Raw genomic sequence first — 26,512 nt, forward strand, 5'->3', positions numbered from 1 at the left:
ACCAGGGCTGTGATGGGTGCTGTAAGCCGAGATCATGCCACTGCACTCCAGCCTGGGTGACAGAGCAAGACTCCTTCTCAAAAAAAAAAAAAAAAAAAAAAAAAAAAAAAAGGATCTGGGCACATGTTGGGAGAGCAGCTGTGCTATTCTAGGGATCCCTTCTACCCCACCAGTTTGCACTGTCCAAAGCCCACAGGCTGGAATGGCTGTGTCACCCAAACAGCAAAGATGGCGGCCAGCTCCTCCCCTGGGAAACTCATCCCAGGGAGCTCCAGCATCCTTGGCACAAGCTGGCAAGTATTGGCTGAAATGACAGGTGCCCTGGAGAAATTTGAAAGGGTTATCCACATCCGGCTGCTGATTATTTTCACAATTTTCCTGAGATGTCGTTATCATTCTTTGACTCTCCTTTCTATAGTCAGACATTTGGCTCTCAGAGGTGACTTTCTGGCTGAAGAATGTGGATTCGTCACTGTCTTGTGCTCAATGTAGAGGGGGCTCTTAATTCCAGAAATGTCCATATCTGATGAAAGAAAGCGAAGAATGAAACAAAAAGAGATATGTACCGTATTCATAAGTAGATTCAATGCTCTTAATTCCAGAAATGTCCATATCTGATGAAAGAAAGCGAAGAATGAAACAAAAAGAGATATGTACCGTATTCATAAGTAGATTCAATGCTATTAAGATGTCAGTTCTTTCCAATGTATAGATTCAATGCAATTCTACTCTAAATGAAAATGTTTATATGGAGAGGCAAAAGACCTTGAATAGCTAACACCATATTGAAGGAGAAGAACAAACTTGGAGGACAGACACTACTCAATTTCAAGACTTACCCTAAAGCTACAGTAATGGAGACAGTGTGGTATTAGTGAAAGAACAAACGGATAAAATGAGATAGAGAGTTCACAAATAGAAACACATTAATACATTCGATTAATTTTTGACAAAAAAGTAAAGGCATTATGATGATGAAACAGTTTTTTCAGGAAGGGCTGCTGGAATACCTGGATATCCACATGCAAAAAAAAAATAAATTGCAGACCTTACACCCCCACCAAAATTAACTCAAAATGGATCAGCAACATAAATATACAAAAAACTATAAAATTTATAGAAGATAATATAGAAGGAAATACAGATTATCTTGGGTTTAATGATGACCTTTAGAAAAAACACCAAAGTTGAAGTCAATAGAAGAAAGAATTGACAAGCTGGACTTGATGAAAATGTAACATTTTTACACCATTAAAGACACTGAAAGAAAAGAGAAACCACAGATGGAAAAAAATTTGCCAAAACGTATCTGATTAAGAACTATTATTCAAAACATATTAGTATTCTTAAAGCTGAGCAGTAAAAGACATGAGCTAAAGACCTTAACAAGTACCTCACCAAGTAAATTATACAAATGGAAAATAAGCATATGTAATGAGGCTACACATAATATTTCCTCAGAGAAATGCAACCATGAGATGCCACTGCACACGTATTAGAATAACCAAAATCTAGAACCACTGACAACATCAAACGCTGGCAAGGATGTGGAGCAAGAGGAAACTTCATTCATTGCTTGTGGGAATGCAAAATGGTGCAGTCACTTCTTGAAAGTTGTATTCTATGTACCTCAACAGCATGGCCTTCACTGTTCATATTCCTATTATCATTTTGGTCGACCACTTAACCAAGGTCTAATTAAGTTCCACAAGTTTCCTCATCTTCCTGTCTTCTTTGCCTATTACCCAGTTCCAAAGCAAATTCTGCATTATCAGGTGTTTTTATAGCAAAACCCCACTCCTTGGTACTAATTTCTGTGTTAGCAACACAGAATAACACAGAAAAGAGCAACACGGAAAAACACAAATTTTTGTGTTGCTATAAAAAAATAGCTGAGACTAGGTAATAAGGTATAAGGAACAGGTATAAGACTAGGTATAAGGAACAGAGGTTTGTTTGGCTCACAGTTTTGCAGGCTGTAGAAGAAGAATGGCAGTGGCATCTGCACAGCTTCTGGTCAGGGACCCAGAAGGCTTTTACTTGTGGCTAAAGGTGAAGAGACAACGGGTATGACACACATGGCTAGAGAGGTAGGAAGAGAGGGGAGAGGTGCCACACTGTTTTAAACAACCACCTTTCGTGTAATGCAGTGAGAACTCACTCATTAGTGAAAAAAGGGCAAAAAGCTATCCAGGAGAGATCAACCACCATGACCCAAACACCTCCCACTAGGTCCCACCTCCAACATTGGGGATCAAATCTCGACACAATATTTGGAGGGTACAAATTTGCAAACAATATCACTCTCTTTTTGTCTTTAACTTTGGACAATTTGATTATAGTGTATCTTGTTGTGAGTCCCTGGATTCACCTTATTTGGTTTCCTTTGGGCTTTCTGGATCAGGCTTTCTGTTTTCTTCCCCATGCTTGATAAATTCTCTGTCATTATTCCTTTAAACACTTTTCCGTTCCTTTCTTCCTCACTTCTCCTTCAGGCATGCCAATAATGTGTGAGTGGTCCTGCTTGATGGTGTCCCATAACTCTCTAAAGTTGTCTTCACTCCGTTTGCATTATCTTTTTTTCTGATCCTCAGGTTAGATAATTTCCAGTGACCAGTCTCAAAGTTCACTGATAGATTCTATTAATGGACACCTCTATTAAATTTTTTCAGTTCAGTTACAGTACACTTTAGATCTATGATTTGTTTGACATTATTGTATAACGTTTTTCCTTTTCTTGAAGTTCTCAACTTGTTCTTGCAAAGCTATCTTGACCTCAGTGATTATTGTTATGACCATTATTTGGAAATCTCTGTCAGATAAATTACATATCTGCACTTCACTCAGGTGCTGGAGATTTATCTTGTTTTCTTGCTTTGAATATATTTCCCTGTTTCTTCATTTTTCCTCGACTCTCTCTGTTGGTTCCCGTGCATTTGATAAGACTGGCCTCATGTAGGAAAAGGATCTCACCAAACTTTCCAGCCAGAGATCTTCAGGTACCTCTCAAGTCCTTGTGTGCTCTAGTATTGACTGTTTTTGGTGGCTCCCTGGAACTTAGGATGTGCCACGCCTTGTCAGTAACCAGAAATTGGTTAAGGTAGGAGCCAGACAATCCAGATGTAGCTAGAAAGTTAGAAGGCTGGAGGAGTGTTTCAGTTCTTTCTAGCTACATGATGAAGATTAGTATGGACATTTATCTCCCACTCTCTCTCCATTAAGCTTGGTAGAGGATCTGTGACAAACACCTATGCACACTCTGGATGCAGCCTCTGATCCTGAGGAGATAGCTTCTGAATGTGGGCCCATTGTATGCTTACTTCTTTGTTTTCTATGGTCTAAATACATTCAAAAATACAAAATCCTGTCGACTCACAGAGCAGAGTTCTTAAGAAAACAGTTCCTTGGGCACTAACCACGGAGGTTGTAGAATTTCAATGCATAATCAAGCTCCTTCTGGGAGCTTGATTCAATGCATAATCAAGCTCCTTCCGGGAAGAATGGGTAGGCTTGGATTTATTACTGGGTTGAACCCGACATAAGACTGGTAGTGTCAAACTATGGTTCCATCTGCCAGATGAATTATACTTTGTAAGCCACATTAGCCCCCATGATGCCAGTATTTAAATACAAAGCTAGAAATGATTAATAGGGTGAGAAAAGCATGTTGAAAGCTCAGATAGGCTGAAAGCTAGGCAACTTACATCAAACAGTAAACTAAGCTGTGAATGCAAAAAAAAAAAAGTTCTTAAAGGAAATTAAACAGACTACTCCAGTGAATGCACAAATGATAAGTACAATGGTATTATTGCTGATGTGAAGACAGTTTTAGTGGTCTGGATAGAAAATCAAATGAGCCACAACATTTCGCTAAGCCAAAGCTGAATCCAGAGCTAAGCCTTAGTAACATTCTTTAATTCTATGAAGTCTGACACAGGTGAGGAGGCTGCAGAAGACAAGTTTAAAGCTAGCAGAGGTTGGTTCATGAGGTTTAAGAAAAGAATCTTCATAACATAAAAGTGCAAGGTAAAGCAGCCAGTGCTGATAGAGAAGCTGCAGCAAGTTATCCAGAAGATCTAGCTAAGATCATTGATGAGGGCAGTTATGCTAAATAACAGATTTTCAATGTAGACAAAACAGCATTATACTGGAAGAAGAGGATACCTAAAACTTTCACAGCTATAGAGGAGAAGTCAATGCCTGGCTTCTAATCTTCAGAGGACAGGCTGACTCTTTATGTACTGGCTAATGCAGCTGGTTACATTAAAACATTAAAGGCAGTACTCATTTACCATTCTGCTACATTTTTAAGTTCTTCTAAACCTATGCTACCTATACTCTATAAATGAAACAACAAAGCCTGGATGAAAACACATCGTTTACAGTATGGTTTACCAAATATCTTAAGCACACTGTTGAGACCTATTGTCCAGAAAACGTGTGTGTGTGTGTGTTTGTGTGTGTGTATACGTGTATGTGTGTGTATGTATATATGTGTGTGTATATATATATATATATATATATATATCTTTTAAAATATTACTGCTCATTGACAATGCACTCATAACCCAAGAGCTCTGATGGAGTTGTACAAATAGATTAATGTTGTTTTCATGCCTGCTAACACAGCATTCATTCTGAAGCCCATGGATCAAGGACATTTTATTATTTAAGAATACATTTTGTAAGCCTATACCTGCCATAGACAATGATTCTTCTGTGTATCTGCACAAGGCAAATTAAAAATCATCTGGATTTTTTTAGAAAGCAATCACTATTCTAGATGAAATTAAAGATATTTGTGATTCCTTGGAGGAGGTCAAAATATGAAGTTTGGAAGAAATTGATTTCAGCCCTCATAGATAGCTTGCAGGGTTTCAAGACTTCAGTGGAGGAAGTAACTGTGAGTGTGATGGAACTAGGGAGAGAACTAAGAGTAAAACTGGAGCCTGAGCCTGTGACTGAATTTCTGCAGTTTCATGATCAAACTTGAATGTACTAAAAGTTGTTTCTTATAGCCCATCCATCTGAGATGGAATCTATTCCTCGTGAAGATACTGTAAACACTGTTGAAATGACAAAAAAACACCTATCTTATTATACAAACTGAGTTGATAAAGCGGTGGCAGCATTAGATAGGATCGACTCTCATTTTGAAAGGTGTTCTACTGTGAGGTAAAATGCTATCCAACAGCATGGCACACTACAGATAAACCTTTCATCAAAGGAGTCAAGTGATGCAGCAAACTTTACTGTTGTTTTATTTTAAGAAATCGCCACAACCACCTCAATCTGCAGCAACCACCACCTTAATCATTCAGCAGCCATCAACACAGAGGAAAGACTCTTTATCAGCAAAAATTAAAATTCACTGAAGGCTCAGATGATCATTTGCATTTTTAGCAATAAAGTAGTTTTTAAAGTATGTAATTGTAGACATAAGGCTATTGCACACTTTATAGACTATGGTATAGTGTAAAAAACTTTTATATGCAGTGTAAAACCAAAAATTCAAGTTCTTATTACATTGTGGTTGCCTGGAATCACACCTGCAATATCCCTGAAGTATGCCTGTACAAGAAATCATGGATAACATACTAAAATAAATTTGGGAAACAATTCATTAACAGAATGATAGTTCTGAAGTAGAAATAGATATGATAACAAAAAAACAAATAGAAATTCTAGATATAGAGAATACAACAAACTAAAAATTTAATACAATGCTTCAGCAGCTGATTTTATTAGCAGAAAAAAAGAATCAGTGAGCTTAAAGAAAAAACATTTGAAATGATTCCATCGGGGAAAAACAACAACAAAAAAGAATAACAAATGCCTATGGCAATTATGGGACTCAATCAAACAACCCAACTTTCATATAATATCAGTTTCTGAAGGAGAAGAAAAAGAAAAAGGCCTAGAAAGCATATTTAATGAAATAATGACTAAAAATTTCCCAAACATGAAGAATGATGACAACATTGAGGTATGAAAACTGCAGAGGTCATGAATCCATTTCAATCCAAGAGGCATTTATCAACACACATCACAATGAAGTTATTAAAAATGAAAAACAAAGAATACTGAAAACAGCAAAAAAACAAGAAATACATCACATTCAAGGGAGCTTCAATATGGCTTTCAGTGGATTTCTCTGCAGAAAACCCTACAGTCCACGAGAGAGGGATGATGTATTCAAAATGCTAAAGCAAACAAGCAAGCAAACAAACAAAAATGCCAATCAACAATACTGTTCCCGGTTGGGTGAACTGGCTCATACCTGTAATCACAGCAGTTTGGGAGGCCAAGGCAGGTGGATCAGGAGGTCAGGAGTTCAAGACCAGCCTGGCCAACATGATGAAACCCCATCTCTACTAAAAATACAAAAATTAGCTGGGCATGGTGGCATGGGCCTGTAATCCCAACTACTCGGGAGGCTGAGGCAGGAGAATTGCTTGAACCTGGTAGGCAGAGATGGCAGTGAGCAAGCTTGAACCTGGGAGGCGAGATCACACCGCTGCACTCCAACCTGGGTGACAGAGCAAGACTCCATCTTGAAAAAAAAATGCTGTGCCTAGCAAAGCTGTCCTGTAGAAATGAGGGAGAGGGAGATATAAAAACCTTTCTATACAAAAAAAAACTAATAAAATTTATAATCAATATCCCTGATTGATCAGAATTACTAAAGGAAGAGCCTTGCATTGAAATAAAAGGCTAAATAGTAAGAAAAAACACATAAAAGTAAAAAGCGTCAATGCTATCAGTAATACACAGTCATGTTCCAAATGCTCTAATATTCTAAGGGTGGTTTGTAAAGCAATTTTATCCCTACTAGTAGGGTTAGCAGACAAAGGTATTGAAAATAACTGTAGCTACAATAAATTGCTAAGGTATATAAGTATGAACTAAAAGGGTAAGTTTTGACATAAAATTGTACAATTGTAAGGGAGAGAGAATGAAAATGTAGACTTTTGGATGCAATTAAAGAGAAGTTGCTATCAGAAGTTGTTAGAGTAGTTTGTTATAAGAATATGATATTTTAGGTAAGTTTCATGATAACCACAAAACAAAACCTATCATAACTGCACAAAATAAAAAAGTTTATTTTGCAATTTATCCAAAATTTTAAAGCATACCACCACAGAAAGCCATCAAGCTATAAAATAGTTCAGCAAGAGAGAAAAAGGGAACAAAGAACTCATAAAACAATCAGAAAAAAAATTACAAAGTGGCAGTAGCAAGTCCTTCCCTATAAATAATTACCTTGATAGTAAGTGCATTACATTGTCAAATAAAAGGACATAGAGCATCTCAATGGATAGAATAAAAAACAAGATTCAATCATGTGCTGCCTACAAGAGACTCACTTTACCAGTCAAGACATATATAGGCTGAAACTGAAAAGATGAAAAAAGATATTCCATGCAAATGCAAACTAAAATAGAGCAGGGGAGCTATACTTACTATTAAAAGAAATAAACTAAGTCAAAACCTATAAAAGAGATAGGGTTCACTGCATAACGATAAAGGAGTTAATTCATCATGAAGACATAATACATGTAAATATATATGCACTCAAGGTCACAAGACCTAAATTCATAAAGCAATTATTAAATAATCTCATGAGAAAAATATACTGCAATACTATAATAGTAGGAGACCTCAATACTCCAATTTCAACCATGGAAAGATCATTTAGAAAGATAATAAATTAAGAAACATTAGATTTGAATCACACTTTGGAGCAACTGGATCTAACAGATATACCCAGAACATCCTATCCAACAGCAGAAGTGTACCTGTTCTTCTGAAATGTGGGTGGAACATTCTCCAGTATATGTCATATGTTAGGCCACAAAACAGATCTTAACAAATATTAGAGAATTGAATTATAGAAAGAAAATTTTTGCATCCCAATGGCATAAAGCTAGAAATCCGTAACAGAAGAAATCTTGAAAAATACATAAAATAGCAAAATTTAACATATTCATAAATGGCCCATGAGTTACAGAAAAAATTTAAAAACATATTTTAAGACACACAAAAATGAAAACACAACATACCAAAACTTACAGAATGTAGTTAAATCAATCATTATACCTCAATGAACTAGATGAGAAACAAAGCCAAGAATTAGCAGAAATAAGAAAATAGCAAAGATTAAAGTGGAAATAAATAAAATAGATATGAGAAACCCAATGGAAAGAATTAATACTGAACTTCTTTTTAAGGCGATAAACAAAATCAACCAATCCGTATCTAGACTAACTAGAAAAAGGACTATTCCAACAAATAAGATCAGAAATGAAATAGGAGAAATTACAACTTTTAACTCTAAAATACAAAGGATTACAATTGTTCATATAATGAACATTTGTATGCCAACAATTTGGATAACATGGAAGAAATAAAAACATTTCCACAAACATACAACTTACCAAGACTGAATCAAGAAGAAACAGAAAATCTGAATGGACTAATAAATAATAAGGAAATTGAAGCAGAATTTTTTTTTTTTTGAAGCGGAGTTTTGCTTTTGTTGCCCAGGGTAGAGTGCAATGGCACAGTCTCAGCTAACTGCAGCCTCCGCCTCCCAGGTTCAAGCAATTCTCCTACCTCAGCCTTCCAAGTAGCTGGGGTTACAGGCGCCCACCACCACACCCATCTGATTTTTTGTATTTTTAGTAGAGACAGGGTTTCACTACTTTGGCTAGGCTGGTCTCGAACTCCAGACCTCAAGCAATCCACCCACCTCAGCCTCCCAAAGTGCTAGGATTACAGGTGTGAGCCACCAAGCCTGGCCTGAAGCAGAAATTAAAAGCCTCCCATGAAAGAAAAGCATAGGACCAGAAGGCTTCACTGCTAAATTCTGACAAACCTTTAAAGAACTAATACTAATTACTCTCAAACTCTTTCAAAAAAGTGAAATAGAGGAAATACTTCCAAACTCATTTTATTAGGGTACCATCATTCCGATACCAAAGACAGACAAGGACACTACAAGAGACGAAAATACTAGGCCAATGTCAGTAACGAACCCTGATTCAAAAATCTTCAACAAAACATTAGCAACCAAATTTAAGAATATATGAATGGAATCATTCACCATGATAAAGTGGGATTTATCCTTTGGATGCAAGTTGGTTTCAACATATGCATATGAATACATGTGATAAAATGCATGAACAAAGTCAAAGACAAAAATCATACGATTCTCTCAATACATGCAGAAAAAGCACATGACAAAATTTAAAACCCTTTCATGATGAAAGCTCTCAACAAATTAAGTGTAGAGAAAATGTATCTCGACACAAAAAAGAACCGTGTATGACAAGCTCTTAGCTAACATTATTCTCAACAGTGAAAAGTGGAAAGCTTTTCCTCCATGTTCAGAGACAAGACAAGGATGACCAGTCTCACCACTTCTTTTCATCGTTAACAGTGGAATTCCTAGGCAGAACAATTAGACAAGAAAAGAAAAGCATCCTACTCAGAAAAAAGTGAAATTATCTCTAATTGCAGACAACATGATCCTGTATACAGAAAACCCTAAATATTCCACCAAAAACTGTTAGAACTGATGCATGAATTCGATAAGGTTTCAGGATACAAAATAATCTAACAAAGATCAGAAGTGTTTCTGTATACAAATAACAAACTACCTGAAGAAATTTTTTAAAAATCCCAAGTATGATAGCAACAGAAATTAAATACTTAGGTGTAAATTTAAGCAAAAAATTAAAGGTCCTGTATATGAAAAACTATAAAACACCAATGAACAAAAATTTAAAAACACAAGTAAATGAAAAAAAAATTCATGCTTGTGGATGGGATGAATTAATATTGTGAAAATGAACAAAATACCAAAAGCAACATATTTGATGCAATCACTATCAAAATTCCAATGCCATTCTTTTACAGAAATGGAAAAAAATCTTGACATTTGTATTGAACAGACCTAAAATAGACAAAATAATCTTGAGCAAAAAGAACAAAGCTAGAGACAGCATGCTACCTAATTTTATTACATACTGTAAAACAATTGTAATCATGGTAGTGGCATATAAATGGACAAATTTGCTAAACAAAATGGAAAACCCAGAAATAAATCCACACACGTCAACTTATCTTTGACAAAGGTGCCAAGGACATACAATGGTTAAAGGATAGTCTGTTCTACAAATGGTGTTGAGAAAACTGAATATCCACAGGAAAAATAAAGTTAGTCCCTTAACTTACACCACATACTAATATCAACTCCAAATGAAGATTTAAATAGAAGGCCTGAACTGTAAAATTACTAGAAGAAAACATAGAGTTAAAGCTCCACAACACTGGTCTCAGCAATACTGTTTTTGATGCAACCCTGATAGCAGTCAACAAAAGCAGAAATAGACAAATTTCTTGTGGCTTAGTTTTGAATTTCTGGTCATTTACTCAATCTGGTCATTACTTTCCCACACTTCATGGTTACAAGTACCAGCCAAGACATGGATCCACCTTCCTACTGCAGTATCTGAAAATCACTGTCTGTTCTATCCTCGGCCTGACCCTCTCTGGCATTCTCGGGATCTACATTTTGATGGAAATGTAATGCTCTGGAACCCTAGGCATATATGAACCAGAAACATGTATGCAGACTCTACTTACCGACAGCAACATAGTTGGAAATACAGTAATCACAGTTGGATAGGAACAAATATTTTATATCTCTTTCTTAGAGATCTGGATTCCACTAAAACGGATTCATGGATGTCAGGGCATTAGGGGTGTGGACTGATAACAAACCTCTCCTTTTTCAGTGCCAAACCAACTTAGAAATAAAAACAAAAGGTCAGATCAATATCCAAATACATTATTCCTCCTAAAGCTGATTTAGAAACTATGGCTTAATGTTGACCAAAAAAGACTTCTAATATTGCCCCCTAGCCTTGACTTTAGAACCTGAACAAAAAAAAGTTCATCTGAAGAACAGTCAGTTACCCACCCAGTGCAGGGAGGGTCTTCACCTGCCTTCCAAGTCTCCTGTTCAGAATCCAGAGGAGAAAGAGAGACTAGATGTACTCATTGATCACTGAGTAAGTTTGCCTTACTAATAGGCAAACGTGGACCAATGGATTTGATGGGACCAATGGATAAGATTTCCCATCCACCAAATAAGTCACATCTTCTCCTGGCTCTGGGAATGAGCCAGATAAAGGTGAAGAGTTGGCAGTGTTTCTACTCAATATTTGTGAGAAGACCGAAGGTGTTGTCAATGGGTAGATAGAACTGGAATGAGGTGGGAAAGTTTTACTCGTTTGACCAACTTCTTTTTATTCAAGTTGTATATGCTGAAGGTAGCCGCTAGAAGAATTGACTTCTGGAAAGATGATTCCCCTCACAATTGCTTGATCTTGAGTATTTTTATTTTTGTGTTAAAGAACTGATGTTGGTTTGTGTACACTGAAATAATGGGGGGAAGCTCTGTATGGAAGGAAAAGAAAGTTTCCTTTCTTTTCTAGAGCCGTCTGTTCAGGTTATCGGAGTCTCCCTATTCATGGGATGAGTGTCCACAACAAACTCCACAATCCTGTGTCTGCTCATTGAAGGTATGTATCAGAGTGACACTTGGAAGCATGGTATAAAGAGGAAATATGCATTTGTCAAATGAAAAATTAAAATATAAGAAAAAGTTTAAAAGGAAAAACAGAATGAGAAGGGCAGGGGCTTGATTAGAGTTTTGTCAACTGGGACAAACTTTGCAGTTTTAGTCAAATATTGCCATCTTTCTAGTGGAAGACTTTGACATGTAAGTTCTAGATTATACTTTCATTTATAAATAACTGTGTAGCTTAATGAGATGGCCCCTGTTAGTATCTTAGGCCATCTATTGAAGGTTTACTAAATTCTTCCAAGGCACGTGAGTCTGCTCCTCAGCAAAGCAGTGACAAACCTGCTTTTCCCTGGTTTCCCCAACTATGTAAAACCTTATTAAAGAATTCCTGAACAATATAAAGTTCCCTCAGCAAGACGGAACTTCCCAAGCTCTTGTCTCAGGAGAGAATGTGGATTATAGAAAGATTGTGGGTGTGAGTGGAGTGGGAAGTTATTTAGGTAGTAAGATTTTCAGGCTCGGTGCAGTGGCTCACACCTGTAATCCCAGCACTTTGGGTGGCCGAGGCGGGCAGATCACAAGGTCAGGAGATGGAGACCATCCTGGCTAACAGGGAGAAACTCCATCTCTACTAAAAATACAAAAAAAAACTAGCTGGGCACCTGTAGTCGCAGCTACTCGGGAGGTTGAGGCAGGAGAACCGCGTGAACCCAGAAGGCGGAGCTTGCAGTGAGCCAAGATCTCGCCACTGCACTGCAGCCTGGGTGACAGAGCCAGACTCCGTCTCAAAAAAAAAATAATAAAAAAATAAAAAGTTAAAGAGGCCAAGAAACATCATTTAAAACACGATATAAATTTTCATCAGACATAAAAGATAAAAAATATTTTCATTTAATAAATACTTTTGCATGTCACACATTTAACGGGAAACAAAATATCATGTTAACAGCCTAGTAATACAATTTTATTGTCTTAGATTTTTTTCGTCAGCATGTATTCTTTCTGTTTTGTTTTGCATTTGAGATGGAGTCACTCTGTTGCTCAGGCTGGAGTGCAGTGGCACGATCTTGGCTCACTGAAACCTCTGCCTCCCGGGTTCAAGTGATTCTCCCACCTCAGCCTCCCGAGTAGCTGAGACTACAGGCATGCACCACCACACCCAGCTAATTTTTGTATTTTTAGTAGAGACAGGATTTCACCATATTGGCCAGGCTGGTCTTGAACTCCTGACCTCAAGTGATCCACCTGCACTGGCCTCCCAAAGTGCTGAGAATACAGGCATGAGCCACTGCAGCCAGACAGCACATATTCTTGTTATGCTTTTAAAACTAGTTATTGATTTAAATTTTACTCATTAGTAGATTCTAGTGCAGAAGCTATAGAGCAGCAGTCCCCAGCCTTTTTGGCACCAGGCAGCAGTTTTGTGAAAGATAATTTTTCCACAGATGGGGGTTTGGGGGATGGTTTCAGGATGGTGATTCAAGCGTATTACATCTATTGTGCACTTTATTCCTATTATGACTACATTGTAATACATAATGAAATAATTACACAACTCATCATAATGGAGAATCAATGGGAGTCCTGAGCTTGTTTTTCTGTAACTAGATGGTCCCATCGTGAAGAGATAGGAGACAATGACATATCATCAGGCATTAGAGTCTCATAAGGAGCATGTGACCTAGATCCCTTGAACGAGCAGTTCACAGTAGGATTTTCACTCCTGTGAGAATCTAATGGCTTTGCTGATCTGACAGGAGGCAGAGCTCAGGTGATAATGTGAGCAACAGGGAGTGGCTGGAAATACAGATGAAGCTTCACTCGCTTGCCTGCCACTCACCTCCTGCTGTGCAGCCTGCTTCCTAACAGGTCATGGAACTGTGTGTGGCCTGGGAGTTGGGGACCCCTGCTATAGAGGATTCAGATTTAAATTCAGAAGTTAGAATGAAAAAGAATTATATTCTTTATCTAAATGATTTCACAGTTAACTAAGAGAAAGTCAGTATATGCTGAAAAGCTTATCAGTGTTAATAAGAATGAAAAATATGTACAATATGCAATTACTATTAAATATAATTTGCCCATAGTTGCACACCGAATTCATTATCATGGCAGTTAAGTATCAGAGCTTCTGGTTTCTCACTCTTCGTTCATGTATTCAGCAACCATGTGCTAAGGTACTAGGACAAGCACTGGAATTACAAGATAAAGATGATACGGTCCGCCCCTCAACAACTGTATGCTATAATCTGAAAAAACAAACAGGCAATTCCCATACAGAGTCATACATACAATGACAAGCATAAGACAGCACTTATTGGAAGACATAGAAGGGATACTAGCCCAGGTTTGTGTCAATATTGTAGGCTTTTTGGTAGAGGCAATTCATAGGTTGATATCTGAAGGGGAAGGAAAACACATGTAGGATAGAGGGAAGAAGTAAATGCAAACAGCTGGAGGTGAAGACGATCACTGTGGAGCTCCATGTAGTCTAGTTTGGCTGGATGCTAGAACAAAGGTGTAGAGTATGGTAAGTGGCGAAAGATAAGGCTGAATAACTTGACAAGAACCACACTGATGTGAGAGTTTTGATTCCATGCTAAGGAATTTTCAACTTTTCCCAGGGGCAAAAGTAAACCAATGACAAAGTCAATGACTAGAGATTTAAAATGTCACTGGTCAAGTGACTGCTTGTGACCTGTAATTGCTTAACTAATTATTATCACACGAGTGTGGGGTCTCTTAGCCTTAAATCACTACCTTAACCTTGAGAAGTTGATAATGCCTTTGTTTTGTGAGAACAGTTTCAGTGTGCAGGCTGATAGTCTATAGGGGTGGCAGAAGAAAAGTGTAGGGCCAGAAAAAAAGGGATACACAGATTTCTTGCGATTTTTTTAAAGCTATGAAACATGATGAATTAACAAAGCATAAGTACACCCTTCACTATGAATGTTTATGTTTTCACATCTTTCACTAGATGTGTGTAAGAAAAAATATTTAATGTAGCATTTATTAACCAAGCAATTGAGAGGGAATACCGTTCACTACTTAGAGTTTATTTCAGAAATCAATGATTTGAATTTAATTCATAAATTTTGGCAACATACCTTCATCTAGCTCTCAAACACCTGCAGCATCTGAAATAAATCAAATATTACTTATAATGTTTCAGTCAAACAAGAGACATTATCATGTAAACCCACTGTAAGTCAAGGAGCATCTGTACTGTAGATTGATCATCCCTAATCTAAAAATCTGAAATCCAAAATGCTCTACAATCTGAAACTTTTTGAGCACGGACATGACACCACAACTGCAACGTTCCACACCTGACCTCATGTGACAGGCTCTGGGGAAAACAGTAAAAACTTTCTTACCTGCAAAAAATTACTGTAAAACATTGTAGAGAATTACCTTCAGGCTATGTGCATAAGGTATATATGAAACACAAATGAATTTCATGTTTAGACTCAGGTACCATCCGCAAGATATTTCATTAGGTATATACAAATATTCCAAAATCTGAAAAAAATCTACTTTTGGTCCCAAGCATTTTGGACAAGGGATATTTAACCCATCCTACTGGAAAAATAAAATTCCTTTTCAGTATGACAGAAATTAAGAGATCAGCTTACCAAACTTGAATGCTGCAGGATTTTCTCAAGCCGCTCAATTTGGTCATCCTGTTTTTTAATAATTTTTCTCATCATCACATGTTCTACTTCAAGCCTAAAATGTGCATTTTAAAATAATTACTCTCACACGTAATTTTTTTTAAATCATGTAAATTCTAAACAAACTTCTGAAGGTATAATTACACAAATTCTTAGCAATCACAAAAGTAGACGATTGGGCTACTGTGTCATTTTCTACCTGTGTTTTGGTGATAATATGCAAAATTTAGGAATAATGTAGAAAAATGATGTATTTCGATATAGCTTACAAATGAAACTTTTTTGGCTTCACAAAGACATACTAATTATCATAACTGATACAATTTTCATACTACAGTGCTCTTTTGCTTTATAAATACTCAAGTTATTTTGTGTGCTGCTTCAAATTTTACTTTTGTGTGTCGCCTTCCATCTCCTTAGTACATCTTATAGTAGCTGTAAGTTGATCCTGTATTTCTTGAAACTGAAACAAAGAATTTTAAAAAATTACATTTGGAAATGACCTAAATGTCCATCAGTAGATGAATGAATCAACAAAATATATATGAAATATTTTAGACTATCACAATCTTTTTTATTTATAAAAGGTCATAATCTAGGAGAAATCATCCCATTACCTGTTTTTTGTAAGTAATTTTAGTGGGACACTGCTACACCCCTTCAGTCTGCATATTGTTCATGGCTACTTTTGTGCTGTAATTGCAGGGCCGAGTTATTGCAACAAGGATCTTATGGCTCACAAAGCCTTACATAATACTATCTGGCCCTTTACAGAAAAGTTCACAGACCCCTGCTCTAGGACTAAAACACAACATTCTTCTTGCTTTTGAATTACATTTTATCAATTAAATACTCAAACTTACAAACTGGTAAAATGTGGAAAGATAAAGGATTACCTCACGCTAAGCATTTATATTTTGAATTCCAAACACTACCACATCAACTATAATTTTATTTTTTGTATGTATGCATTTAGTTTTATTATAGCAAAGCAACTTGCACATTTTTAAATATTTAAAACTAAGCATCATCTTTCCTTTCTAGGGAAACAACAAGAAAATTTAAAAACAAGCAGGAACAAAATTAAAATCGACAAAGTCAGTTCCAAATAAGATCCTACAGGATCTTATTGACTCTCCCATTGAATAGCAGGACTCAGGTCATCATTAGGAGAGAAGTAATTTAAAAGCGTCATCTTAAACTGCAAAGATGTCCATTAAACATGCCAAAGGAGAAGCCCTGTTGTCTAAATGCCCACTTAACCAACCCAAACATCTCAAACCCATCCTTTGCTGACCTTCTATAACCCCCTTTTTAGTTTAGCTTTTTCTACAAATAAGAGAAAATAGATACATGTTGGCAAATGCTAACTGTCCATATTCATATAGAGACAGAGTGTGCTCTCTGAGCCCAATACAAAGGAAGTAAGGATTTTCATCGAAATAAAAATTTATTCAGTAAAATGGCCTTTCTGAACAAGTTAACCTGAAATCTAAGAAATACGTATACACAGGTTCTTTATACATTCAGAAAAGTAGAGACTAAAAAGAAGATAATTTTCTGAAACATTCCATTAGACATTATCCTCTGAATTAACCTGGCTTGCCTCACCATGCCAATAGAGAAATCATTAAAAATAGACTGTTTAACAGGAAAAAAAAACTCTCTCAACTTCTGTGAGAAATGATGCATAATTCTCAACTTTCCTAAGGTTAAATATTTAAGAAAAAAATATATGTATAAAAAATGGCAGAATGAAAGCCAGAGATTAAGATATAGGTGCATTATAATAAAATCTTAATAAAATTAATAATAAGGAAAATACAGAAGAAAGCCATCCACTATAAAATTTTAATAACATTAATTATCATAAAAATACAAAAGAAAGCCATCCACTAAAATTAGTACCCCAAAACACTTTATATTAGTTAACTAGCTACAGATTAACAGTTGTTGGTGTGCAAAGTTGCATACATACTTGACTTCTCATCTGGTCTAATTTCTTCCTTGAATCCTGCATCCCATTTTCTAAATAGGTGCAGTGACGCGATGAAGCATCCAGCAGAGCTTTTGTTGCTGATCCTTTGTTTAAGACATCATCTCGTTTTTGTTGAAGCTGTCTCACAGCTACCTGATAAGATGTTATTTTTGTTACTGATTTTACAAATCACCTTATTATTAAACCATTAATAATATTTAACTCTAAAGCATACTCTTTGAAAAATATCACCACACAGACCGATTCACCTTCTTTTCCTCATGTGTACACATTCCTGTGTATTACTGAATCCAGTTAAGGATACAGAAGGTGTTATCTTCCTGCCAAACTGGTATTGTTATTCACACAACATATTCAGCCCACTAGTCATTCCTCCCTTGATGAATCTGCAATGCTTAAAAACCTTCTGAAGTCTCAAAAAGAAATGAGTATGTGGGTGAGACTGATGGTAGTAAATTATACATTGTGGAATGATTTCCCTCTTTTTTTAAATTAGAAACTCAAATCAACCTCAGAGTTCCTCACATTAAATCATCTGCTTAAATCCTTCCAATAGATGTCTATCTCAGAAGAAAAGTAAAATTCCAGTGGCCTTAGATGCTCTAAGTAACCCGCCCTCCACCTCCCGCCCTGACTCAGCTGCTATATCTCTCCTCCGTACTCACTCCATTCCTACTCTACGTGAATCCTGCCACTCCTCGTTAGTCTGAAATCCTCCTTAGTCTGAAAATGGGGATCCAGTGTCAAACTAATAAATCACAGATAGCTATGCCTCTCTTTGTCCTGGACAAAGTTATATCCAAATGATAGTAATTGAGCCTTGAAATAAAAATTATGAACAAATTTTTTATTTAAAAACTGAAAGTAAATTATAAATGCCAGTGGGAAGATTAAATCAAACATGATTTGGCTAAAATTTACTGCATTTGCCCCATATTATAATAGAAGTAAAATTAGATGCCTTGAAAGAATAGAATGGTCATATCTATACATAATTTGAGATTGAAATAGTTTCAGATTTAAGTCAAATTGACATGAAGAAAAACAAAATTTTACCAACTAAGACATATTTAAAGCTACTGAAGAAAAGTAATTATGAAATAGGGAATACACTTCAGTTCATCTAGGAAATCTGAAATTCACTGTCAAAGTACCCCACTTAATTGAATCAATTTCAAAATACCATTTTAGGTATGAGCATTTCCATATACCTGATTTATCATGGTCTTAAAATGTTGCAACATAAATACATTAAAATTATTACTTCAGCAGTATAAGACTACATTATTAATGTTAGTCTATGTTAACATTTTATAACTTAAAATTTTATAAGCGACACATTGACTTTAATCAGAGGAAAGCATCTCTCAGTTCTAACTTTGACTTGCTGGAGACAAGGAATGTTTCTAAGCAGATATATTTATCATATGTATCCTTTTTTATATTCAACTAGATCCAACATTCAGCTGTAACCAAATATTACTTTAAATTTTACTTCAGGAAGTTTGAAAAATACTTATTTTTCTTGATACTTACTTCTCTTTCTGCTTTCTCTTTTTCATATTGGCATTCTTTTTCTTTCGAATGATTCAGTTCATTGACCAACATTTTATTGTCTTCTTCTAGTAAAAGACGGTGCTTTCTGCACTCAGCTTGAAGGTTTTGTACTCTAGCATCACATCTGGCTTGAATATTAAGTATTGCTTTTTCTTGATTGTCAGCTTTGTTGCGAGCATCATCCAGTTGCTGTTGAAGCAACATATTTTGTTTTTTTAGTTGACAAAATCTTTCCTGTTTTTCTATGCATTTTTCCATTGTATTGTATCCACTTTTGTACATTTTTTCAATGTCCTTCATTTGACTCTGTTTTTGCTTTAGCTCACTTTGCACGTGTTCAAAAACCAAAGCCTTTTCTTTCAGAGCCTCTCCTGTGTAATGGAGCTCAGTTTTGAGGACTCTGGACTTACTCTCAGCTTTAGAAAGTTGCAGAGAAAGAATCAGAACATGAGAATTCAAATTTTCCTGTAAGTGACGACATTTATCTACTGTGCCCTGGAAAGCAAGCTCTTGGTCTCTTTTTGATGAGTGACTTTGATCATGATCACATCGAGCAGCATTCAGTCTACAACGGTATGATTGCATTTCTGTTTCCAGTCTTTGCCTGCTCTCTCTTTGCTTCTCCAGTTTGGAACGGAGCGTTGTGTTTTCATCTGTCAGAGCAGCAAGCTGTCCACTATAACAGGCTATCGTTTTTGCTAATGTTTCCCCATTCCGTTTTAGAGCCTTTTGAAGGTCTTCATGCTTTCTTTTCACAATTTCAAAGTCTTTTAAGTATTTCTTTTCCAGGTTTTGGTTTTTTATTGTGTCTTTTTCCAGCCTGAGCCTGGCAATTTCATCTTGCATCAAGCGGTTTTCATGCAGCAGGTCTTCTTTTTCATCAGTTTCAGAAACCTAAGTAAAACAAAGCAAACTTGTAACTAGTATCCAATAGGATAACATATTGTGATTGCTTCTGAAATTAAATAATAACCCGTACATTTATACAATGAGAGGTTGCCATAACTGGATATCTAACTGGGAAAAAAGAAGTTAAGTCAAAACCTCAAACCTCATACAGCATAAATTCCCCAAAGTTCAAAAGTTTATTTGAAGACAGTGAATCCATGAAAGCAAAAAAGAAGCCACTAGATAATTTTTTTAAATTTCAGGATAAAAAAAGGCTTTTACTGAATTACAACAAATTGCAAGGCATAAAGAATTAATAACTATGACCACATTAAAAAATTGGGTTTACACTCTAACATCTAAACTATACCTCTCCCTATAGTGAGAGCCTTAGCTTGGCAGATATTTGGACAGATGAATGACATTTTCCAAATTCTTTAAGTTCCCTTTTTCTAAAATATTGTATAGATATTCTACTTTTCTAATATTGTTATGGTCAGTTTTAAGAATGACATTTATTGATAAATGATAAAGCTAGGCATTATACTAAGCACTTTTACGTGCACAAATCAATGAACTCATTTAGTTATAATTCTATAGCAAAAGGTTAAAAATATAAGCAAGCTGCAGGATTTTTCCCAGCTTTTCTGACTCTATTCCTAGTGCTCTTCCACCAAATCAGTAACTTCTGTGAGGTAGATATATACATACAAAAATAATCTTTTATTTCAAGACACCAAAAGTCAAGAAAATTAGATCTATAAAACTCTTCTTAGAAAATCATGACATTATTTGCTATTGTGATAACTTTTATTCCTTTTCCATAACATTTGAAATGTAATTAACATGAAATAGGGGAAATATGCTGAACTATGTCACTAGGAACAAAATACTTACAATATCATTAAGTATATATTGTAGAATAGCATTGTTTTCAAAAGGCCTTTGAACTAAAATAAAATATTTCAAGATTTATTATAAATAATTATAGCTATAAATGCCATGATTCATTTTTAAGATGAAATAAAATTTGGGGATTGTTCAGGCCTAAATAATATATGTTAAATGAAAGAGATGGTATAAGTAATATTAATAAGAGTAGAAATATGAAGTTTTACCAAACATTAATTTACCTGATTTGAATTATTTCCTCCTGTCTTCAATTCCACCTCTGCTGATTTGAGAGCCGGTTTAATTGGTTTTGTCACATCAGCTTCTATCCTATATTGCTCTTCTGTTATTCTTAACTTTTCCCTAACTTTTTGGTGCAACTCTTCAACATTTCTTCTTTTCTTTTTTTCTTGCTGTATGGCAAATCTGTAAATATACTTATCTTAGAATTTATCTTATCAGTGAGGACTAAGCTCTAATTTTTTATCTTGCCCAAATTCCTACCTAAGGGGTCCAGGGAGTCGTGCCCTACAAACCATGGATTCTCATCAGATGGGTTTTATTTGACCCTGTATATTGTGACTTGCTTTTCAATCTGACTCTGGCATAACCTTACGAGACAAGGAAGAAAATATTTAATCCAAAATATATTTCCTTGCCATGCCTTGAAATTGCCCTGCAAAGTCTCTTGTGGGAAAAATCCACATTCTATAGAGAACCCCCTTTCCCCTTTGTTTTCCTTCCTTTCTATGCAGATCCAGGGGATATTCAGCTGAGAGCCAGGCACCCTTTTGGGTCCGATAAGAAACATTTTACAATCTGCTCTCTCTGAAGTCTGCTGAGAGATTCCTCTGCACAGTAAAACTTGGTCCCCACAATCATTTATCTTAACCTGAACATTTCTTTCCATTAATCCCAGGTCTTCAAATAAACTCAAGCAATTGTCAACCAGAAAATGTTTAAATTTACCTACAGCCTGGAAGCCCCAGCTTTGAGTTGGCCTGCCTTTCTGAACCAAATCAATGTATTTCTTACATGTATTTGATTGCTGTCTCATGCTTCTCTAAAATGTATAAAACCAAGCTGCACCCCGACCACTTCGGGCACATGTTCTCAGGACCTCCTGAGGGCTGTGTCGGGGGCCACGGTCACTCATATTTGGCTCAGAATAAATGTCTTCAAATATCTTACAGAGTTTGACTCTCTTTGTTGATATTAGAAAATAAAACATTCATATGTTGGTTTATTATCCTAATAAAGTTTCTATGTTCTTAAATACTATTTTTCTTTCTAGTTCTCATGTTTTTAATTTCTCACCTCAATCTCATCCAAAGGGCATGTATAAGTTGAAATGTATTGATAAAAGAACATCCTGCATAAGTTTCTATTACTAGTAACTCTAGCAAATATTATGAAAAAGGACGTTGAAAATTATTCAGTAAAGTTACAAGATAAAAATTATCTTTTCTTCACAGTAATTACTCCTCAATTAGGATGAATCATTTAGAGTTAATTAACATAAAGTTACTTTTTATAAACAAGTTGGTACATTCACTAGAAATACATTTTCATCTTCATGAAACATTCATTGCAAGTATCCCTAAACATAATTTACATTGCAAGATAGCATTTTCGATGTCTTTATGAAACATATATCAGCAGATTACTGTAATCCAAGACTAGGTTAAGAATGTAATATGTTACCCTACACTTTTTAAGATTGTTTTTTGGGTAACACTTTCAGTCTATCCTGCTGATTAGTATGTACTTTATAACCAATTGTAAAATCTGTTTTGGAACAACACAAGATCTAATATTTAATTAAACAATAAAGAATAATACATGTCTTCAGCATAAAACTGAATTAATTTTATCTACATAGCAGAGAGATGTTGAATAAGCTAATCAGTAATCACTTTACATTTTACTTTTTATTCCCTGCATATTAAGAATAAAACTGGATACATTTTTTTTTTTTTTTTTTTGAGAGGGAGTCTCCTACTATCACTGGGCTGGAGTGCACTGGTGCAATCTCTGCTCACTGCAACCTCTGCCTCCCAGTTTCATGTGATTCTCCTGCCTCAGCCTCCTGCGTAGCTGGGATTACAGGTACAACCACCATACCTGGCTAATTTTTTGTATTTTTAGTAGAGATAGCATTTCACTGTGTTGGGCAGACTGGTCTCGAACTCCTGACCTCGTGATCTGCCCACCTCGGCCTACCAAAGTGCTGGGATTACAGGCATGAGCCACTGCACCCGGCTGATAATTTTTAAAATAATTATTCTGGGTAAAGAAAAATATCTGTTTTATACTCTGTTGGTTGAATTATAAATTAATATGAACATCCTTAAGAACAATTTAGAAATATTGATCACAGATCTAAAACAGATCTAAAAAAGTTTCTATACTTTAACCAGAAGAATTTATCCAATGTAAATAATTAGAAATGTAGAAAACTATGTGTATATAAAAGATGTTCCTTGTAGCATTATTACAAAAACTTTTTAAAACCTGAAATTCAATTCATCAATTAAATAATGAGATTTCCAAAAGGTAAAATTCTATACAGCCATTAAAACTATGATTTAAAAGAATATGCATTTAATTATTAGAGAAGTATTCACAATTAAGAACTTGTGATATTATATCCAATAATTTCACACTCCATAAGATTAAGAAGCTTTCTTCCCTGTTAAATCCTAGAAGGAAAGTTCGCAATTACAAAACTTCTCCTTATACGTCTTTAATATAAAACAAACAGTTCAAACATTTATTTAAAACTAGGTCATACCTCAAACTACAGAGTTCTTTTTCCAATTCAAGTATTTCATGCTTTAACTGCGATTTTATTTCTTCTTTTTCAGATATTCTCTTTTGTAGTACACTAGCCTTATTTTTCAGTTTTCGAATTTTTACTCTAAGTTGCTCACAGTGGTTATCTTTAAGTTTTATTAATCTTTTCCATAAACAAAATGTATTTTTAATTTTCAATAGGTGAACACAATCTGTAACCAGGAAAAAACAAACTAGAGATAAAATACATGAGTAGATTTTTGGATATAAAGGACTGTGCATTTTTAACATGTATTCATTCATACGTTGAACAAGTATGTACATATTGAGTGCCTACAAGGTGGAAGATATTATAGTAAGGTCTGCAGATAAGACAACACCTCTGCTATTGTTTTAGCTTAAAGTATAGTGAAGAACCAAGATAAAAAGGTGACAGTTATAAACTCAGATAGGTCCTGTAAAAAAAAAAAAAAAAAAAAAACATAGTTATGTGATTGCATAAGATAATTTGATCTATACTTCACCCAGGGAAGATTTCCCTGAGGAAGAGATGCTACACTGAGAAATGAAGGATGAGAAAGAAGCAGTTAAGCAAAGAAGAAAGCAAAGCACTCTGGCTAGTTTGCAGCATGTGCTGTGCTGAAGCTCTGCTGCAATCTGTTACTAGCTCTGATGGAGTAACAGATACTGATTTTTCATCTTATCTGAATGAATAAAAAACAAAACAGACACAATACATTAAACTGATTTTCAACACAGTGGACTTCAGGCAATGAAGATGGTAGGTGATCACTGAAAGACAGAAAACAAATACAGCAGGCCTTACAAATATCCCAGCTCTTTTGACAGAGTTTTGACGGAGGTTCGAGGCCATCACAAAGGGAGAAAATCTGACATAGAGCTGGGGTGATGACGCTGAGAGGCCAGTAAAACCAAAGCAGATAGAGATCACAGGACAGAAAACTGGAGAGAAAAAAGCAGTACAGGAAACAAATCCTGGAGATGTGCAGAGATTCCCTCTTGGGTATTTAGTGGAGTAATGAAAAGTGCTTGTGTACTAGGAAACTTCCTAAGAACAATGAAAAATAAAATAAAAAAAAACAACAGTTAAAGAACATTAGCAGAAACGATGTCTGGGGTTCACACAATGACTGGAAGAGGGTCCATTCCCATGAGCCAGGCCAAAATACCGCATACTTCACAGGACAATGAATACTCCGAAAGGTCTTGCCTCAGGAGTGAGGAATTACCCCAAATCTAAAAGCAAGAATGGAAAGATTATAAGTAAATCTCTGTACTCCAAATAAAACTCAAGATAATAAGTGGAGGCAGGGAAGGTTTTTTTTTAAAAAAACACAAACCATACTTGTAGAGACACAAATTACATTGTCATAAGTAAAAACTATAGTGGATGGAAATAAACACAAATTAGAGATAACAAAGGAAAAATTCCTAAATTTGACACGATAAACTGCAAGAAACTTTCAAGCAGCTAATAGATAACTCCTCAAATAAAAAAGAAGAGACAGAAAAAAAATTAAAGAAAAAATGACCAAAAATATTCTAACCTTAACACAAACCATAATCCCACAGATTCAGGAAGGAAGTGTCTGGGACAGAAAAAAATGAAAATGTATCATTGTCATTTTTTATACCATCTAGGATGTATAATATTACTGAAGGTGAACTGTGATAAGTTAAAATTATATACTAAAAATCCTAAACACTAAGATAGCAAAACAGTTATCGCTAATAAACCCAAAAATATATATAAAATTGAATCATAAAAAACAGTTGACTAATCTAAAGGAAAGCAGGAAAAGAAGGGGAACAGAGAACAGTTGGGACTAATAGCAATCACACAGCTACCAGACAAACATAACTATATCAGTAATCACATTACAAATGACACTTGTCTAAGAACCTCAACTATAATACAGACTGTCAGGCTCAGCAAGAAAGCAAGACCCAACTACAGGCTGCCTATAAGAAATGCACTTTAAATGTAAAGACACAAATTGGTTGTAAGGATGGAAAAAGATACATGCTAACAGTTGGCAAAGGCAGCTGAGCAGGTGTGGCTGTATTAATACCAAAGTAGATTTCATAGCAAAAAAAAAAAAACATTCCAGCAATAAATAACAAAGGTCATGTCACAATAGTAAAAGGTTCAGTTAATCAACAAAACATAACAATCCTCAGTCTTTATGCCCCTAATAACAAACCAGCCTCACAATATATGAGACCAAAGTGGATAGAACTACAAAAAGTGACAGACAATTTCTAGGTAATCTGAGGTTTCAATACCCTTTACTCAATAAGTGATAGAACAAGAAGGCAGAAAATCAGCGAGAATAGACTTGAACAACACTATGCTTTCCAAGTACCCACGGAACACTTACCAAAATAGACCATATTTTAGGCCATACAACAACTCTCAATTAAAGGATTGAGTCAGAAGGATTTAACTCATACAAAGTATGTGCCCTGACCACAAATCAATCAGATTAAAGACCGATAACAAAAATAACTCTGGGAAATACACAAATATTTGGAAACTAAGTAACACACATCTAAATAACCCTGGGTCAAACAGGTAATGAAAATAGAAATAGAAAATAGAAAATATTCTGAACTGAATAAAAATTCATCAACCAGAATTTGTGGAATGCAGCTACAGCTGTACTTGAATACAAATTTTTAGCACTGCTGAATGTCTACATTAGAAGAGTCTTAAATCAATGACTTTGACTTCTACCTTAAGCAACTAGATAAAAGAAGAGTGACATAAACCCAAAGCAAGCAGAGGAAAGGAAATAATAAACATCTGCTGTGGTCTGAATGTTTGTCTTCCCCAAAATTTATATGCTGAAAGCCAATCACAGATGTGACGGTATTAGGAGGGGGGATTTTTACAGGTAGTTGGTCATGAGAGCGAAGCCCTAATGAATGGGATTAGTGCTTAGTGCTCTATACAACAGACCCCAGATCTCCTTCACCCCTTCTGCCAAGTGAGGGCACAGAGAAAAAGCATTCATGAACTAGGACGTGTTCCCTAACCATACACCAAACATGACAGCATCTGGATCTTGGACTTTGCTGAACCCACAA

At 35.6% G+C, this 26,512-nt stretch overlaps 1 protein-coding gene across 25 annotated transcripts in view; it reads right to left on the bottom strand.

The window, feature by feature from the left end:
• Nucleotides 1-330: 330 nt before the first annotated feature.
• The window catches only part of ANKRD36B (ankyrin repeat domain 36B), a 97,215-nt gene continuing 71,033 nt past the window's right edge, over nucleotides 331-26,512 (bottom strand). For 16 of the 25 annotated variants that reach the window (XM_047445328.1, XM_047445323.1, XM_047445324.1 and 13 more), the window contains 8 exons: nucleotides 23,400-23,613; nucleotides 20,848-21,031; nucleotides 18,806-19,720; nucleotides 17,249-17,401; nucleotides 15,663-15,733; nucleotides 15,232-15,325; nucleotides 14,704-14,733; nucleotides 331-523 (listed from right to left, as the gene is read on the bottom strand). In XM_047445328.1, the coding sequence (XP_047301284.1) occupies nucleotides 14,710-14,733; nucleotides 15,232-15,325; nucleotides 15,663-15,733; nucleotides 17,249-17,401; nucleotides 18,806-19,720; nucleotides 20,848-21,031; nucleotides 23,400-23,613 (1,655 nt within the window). In that variant the 3' untranslated portion in view covers nucleotides 331-523; nucleotides 14,704-14,709. The other 9 variants (XM_005263995.6, NM_025190.4, XR_007078917.1 and 6 more) reach the window with 9 other exon arrangements.

This window comes from Homo sapiens, chromosome 2 (assembly GCF_000001405.40).
Source record: "Homo sapiens chromosome 2, GRCh38.p14 Primary Assembly".
NCBI classification, from domain to species: domain Eukaryota; kingdom Metazoa; phylum Chordata; class Mammalia; order Primates; family Hominidae; genus Homo; species Homo sapiens.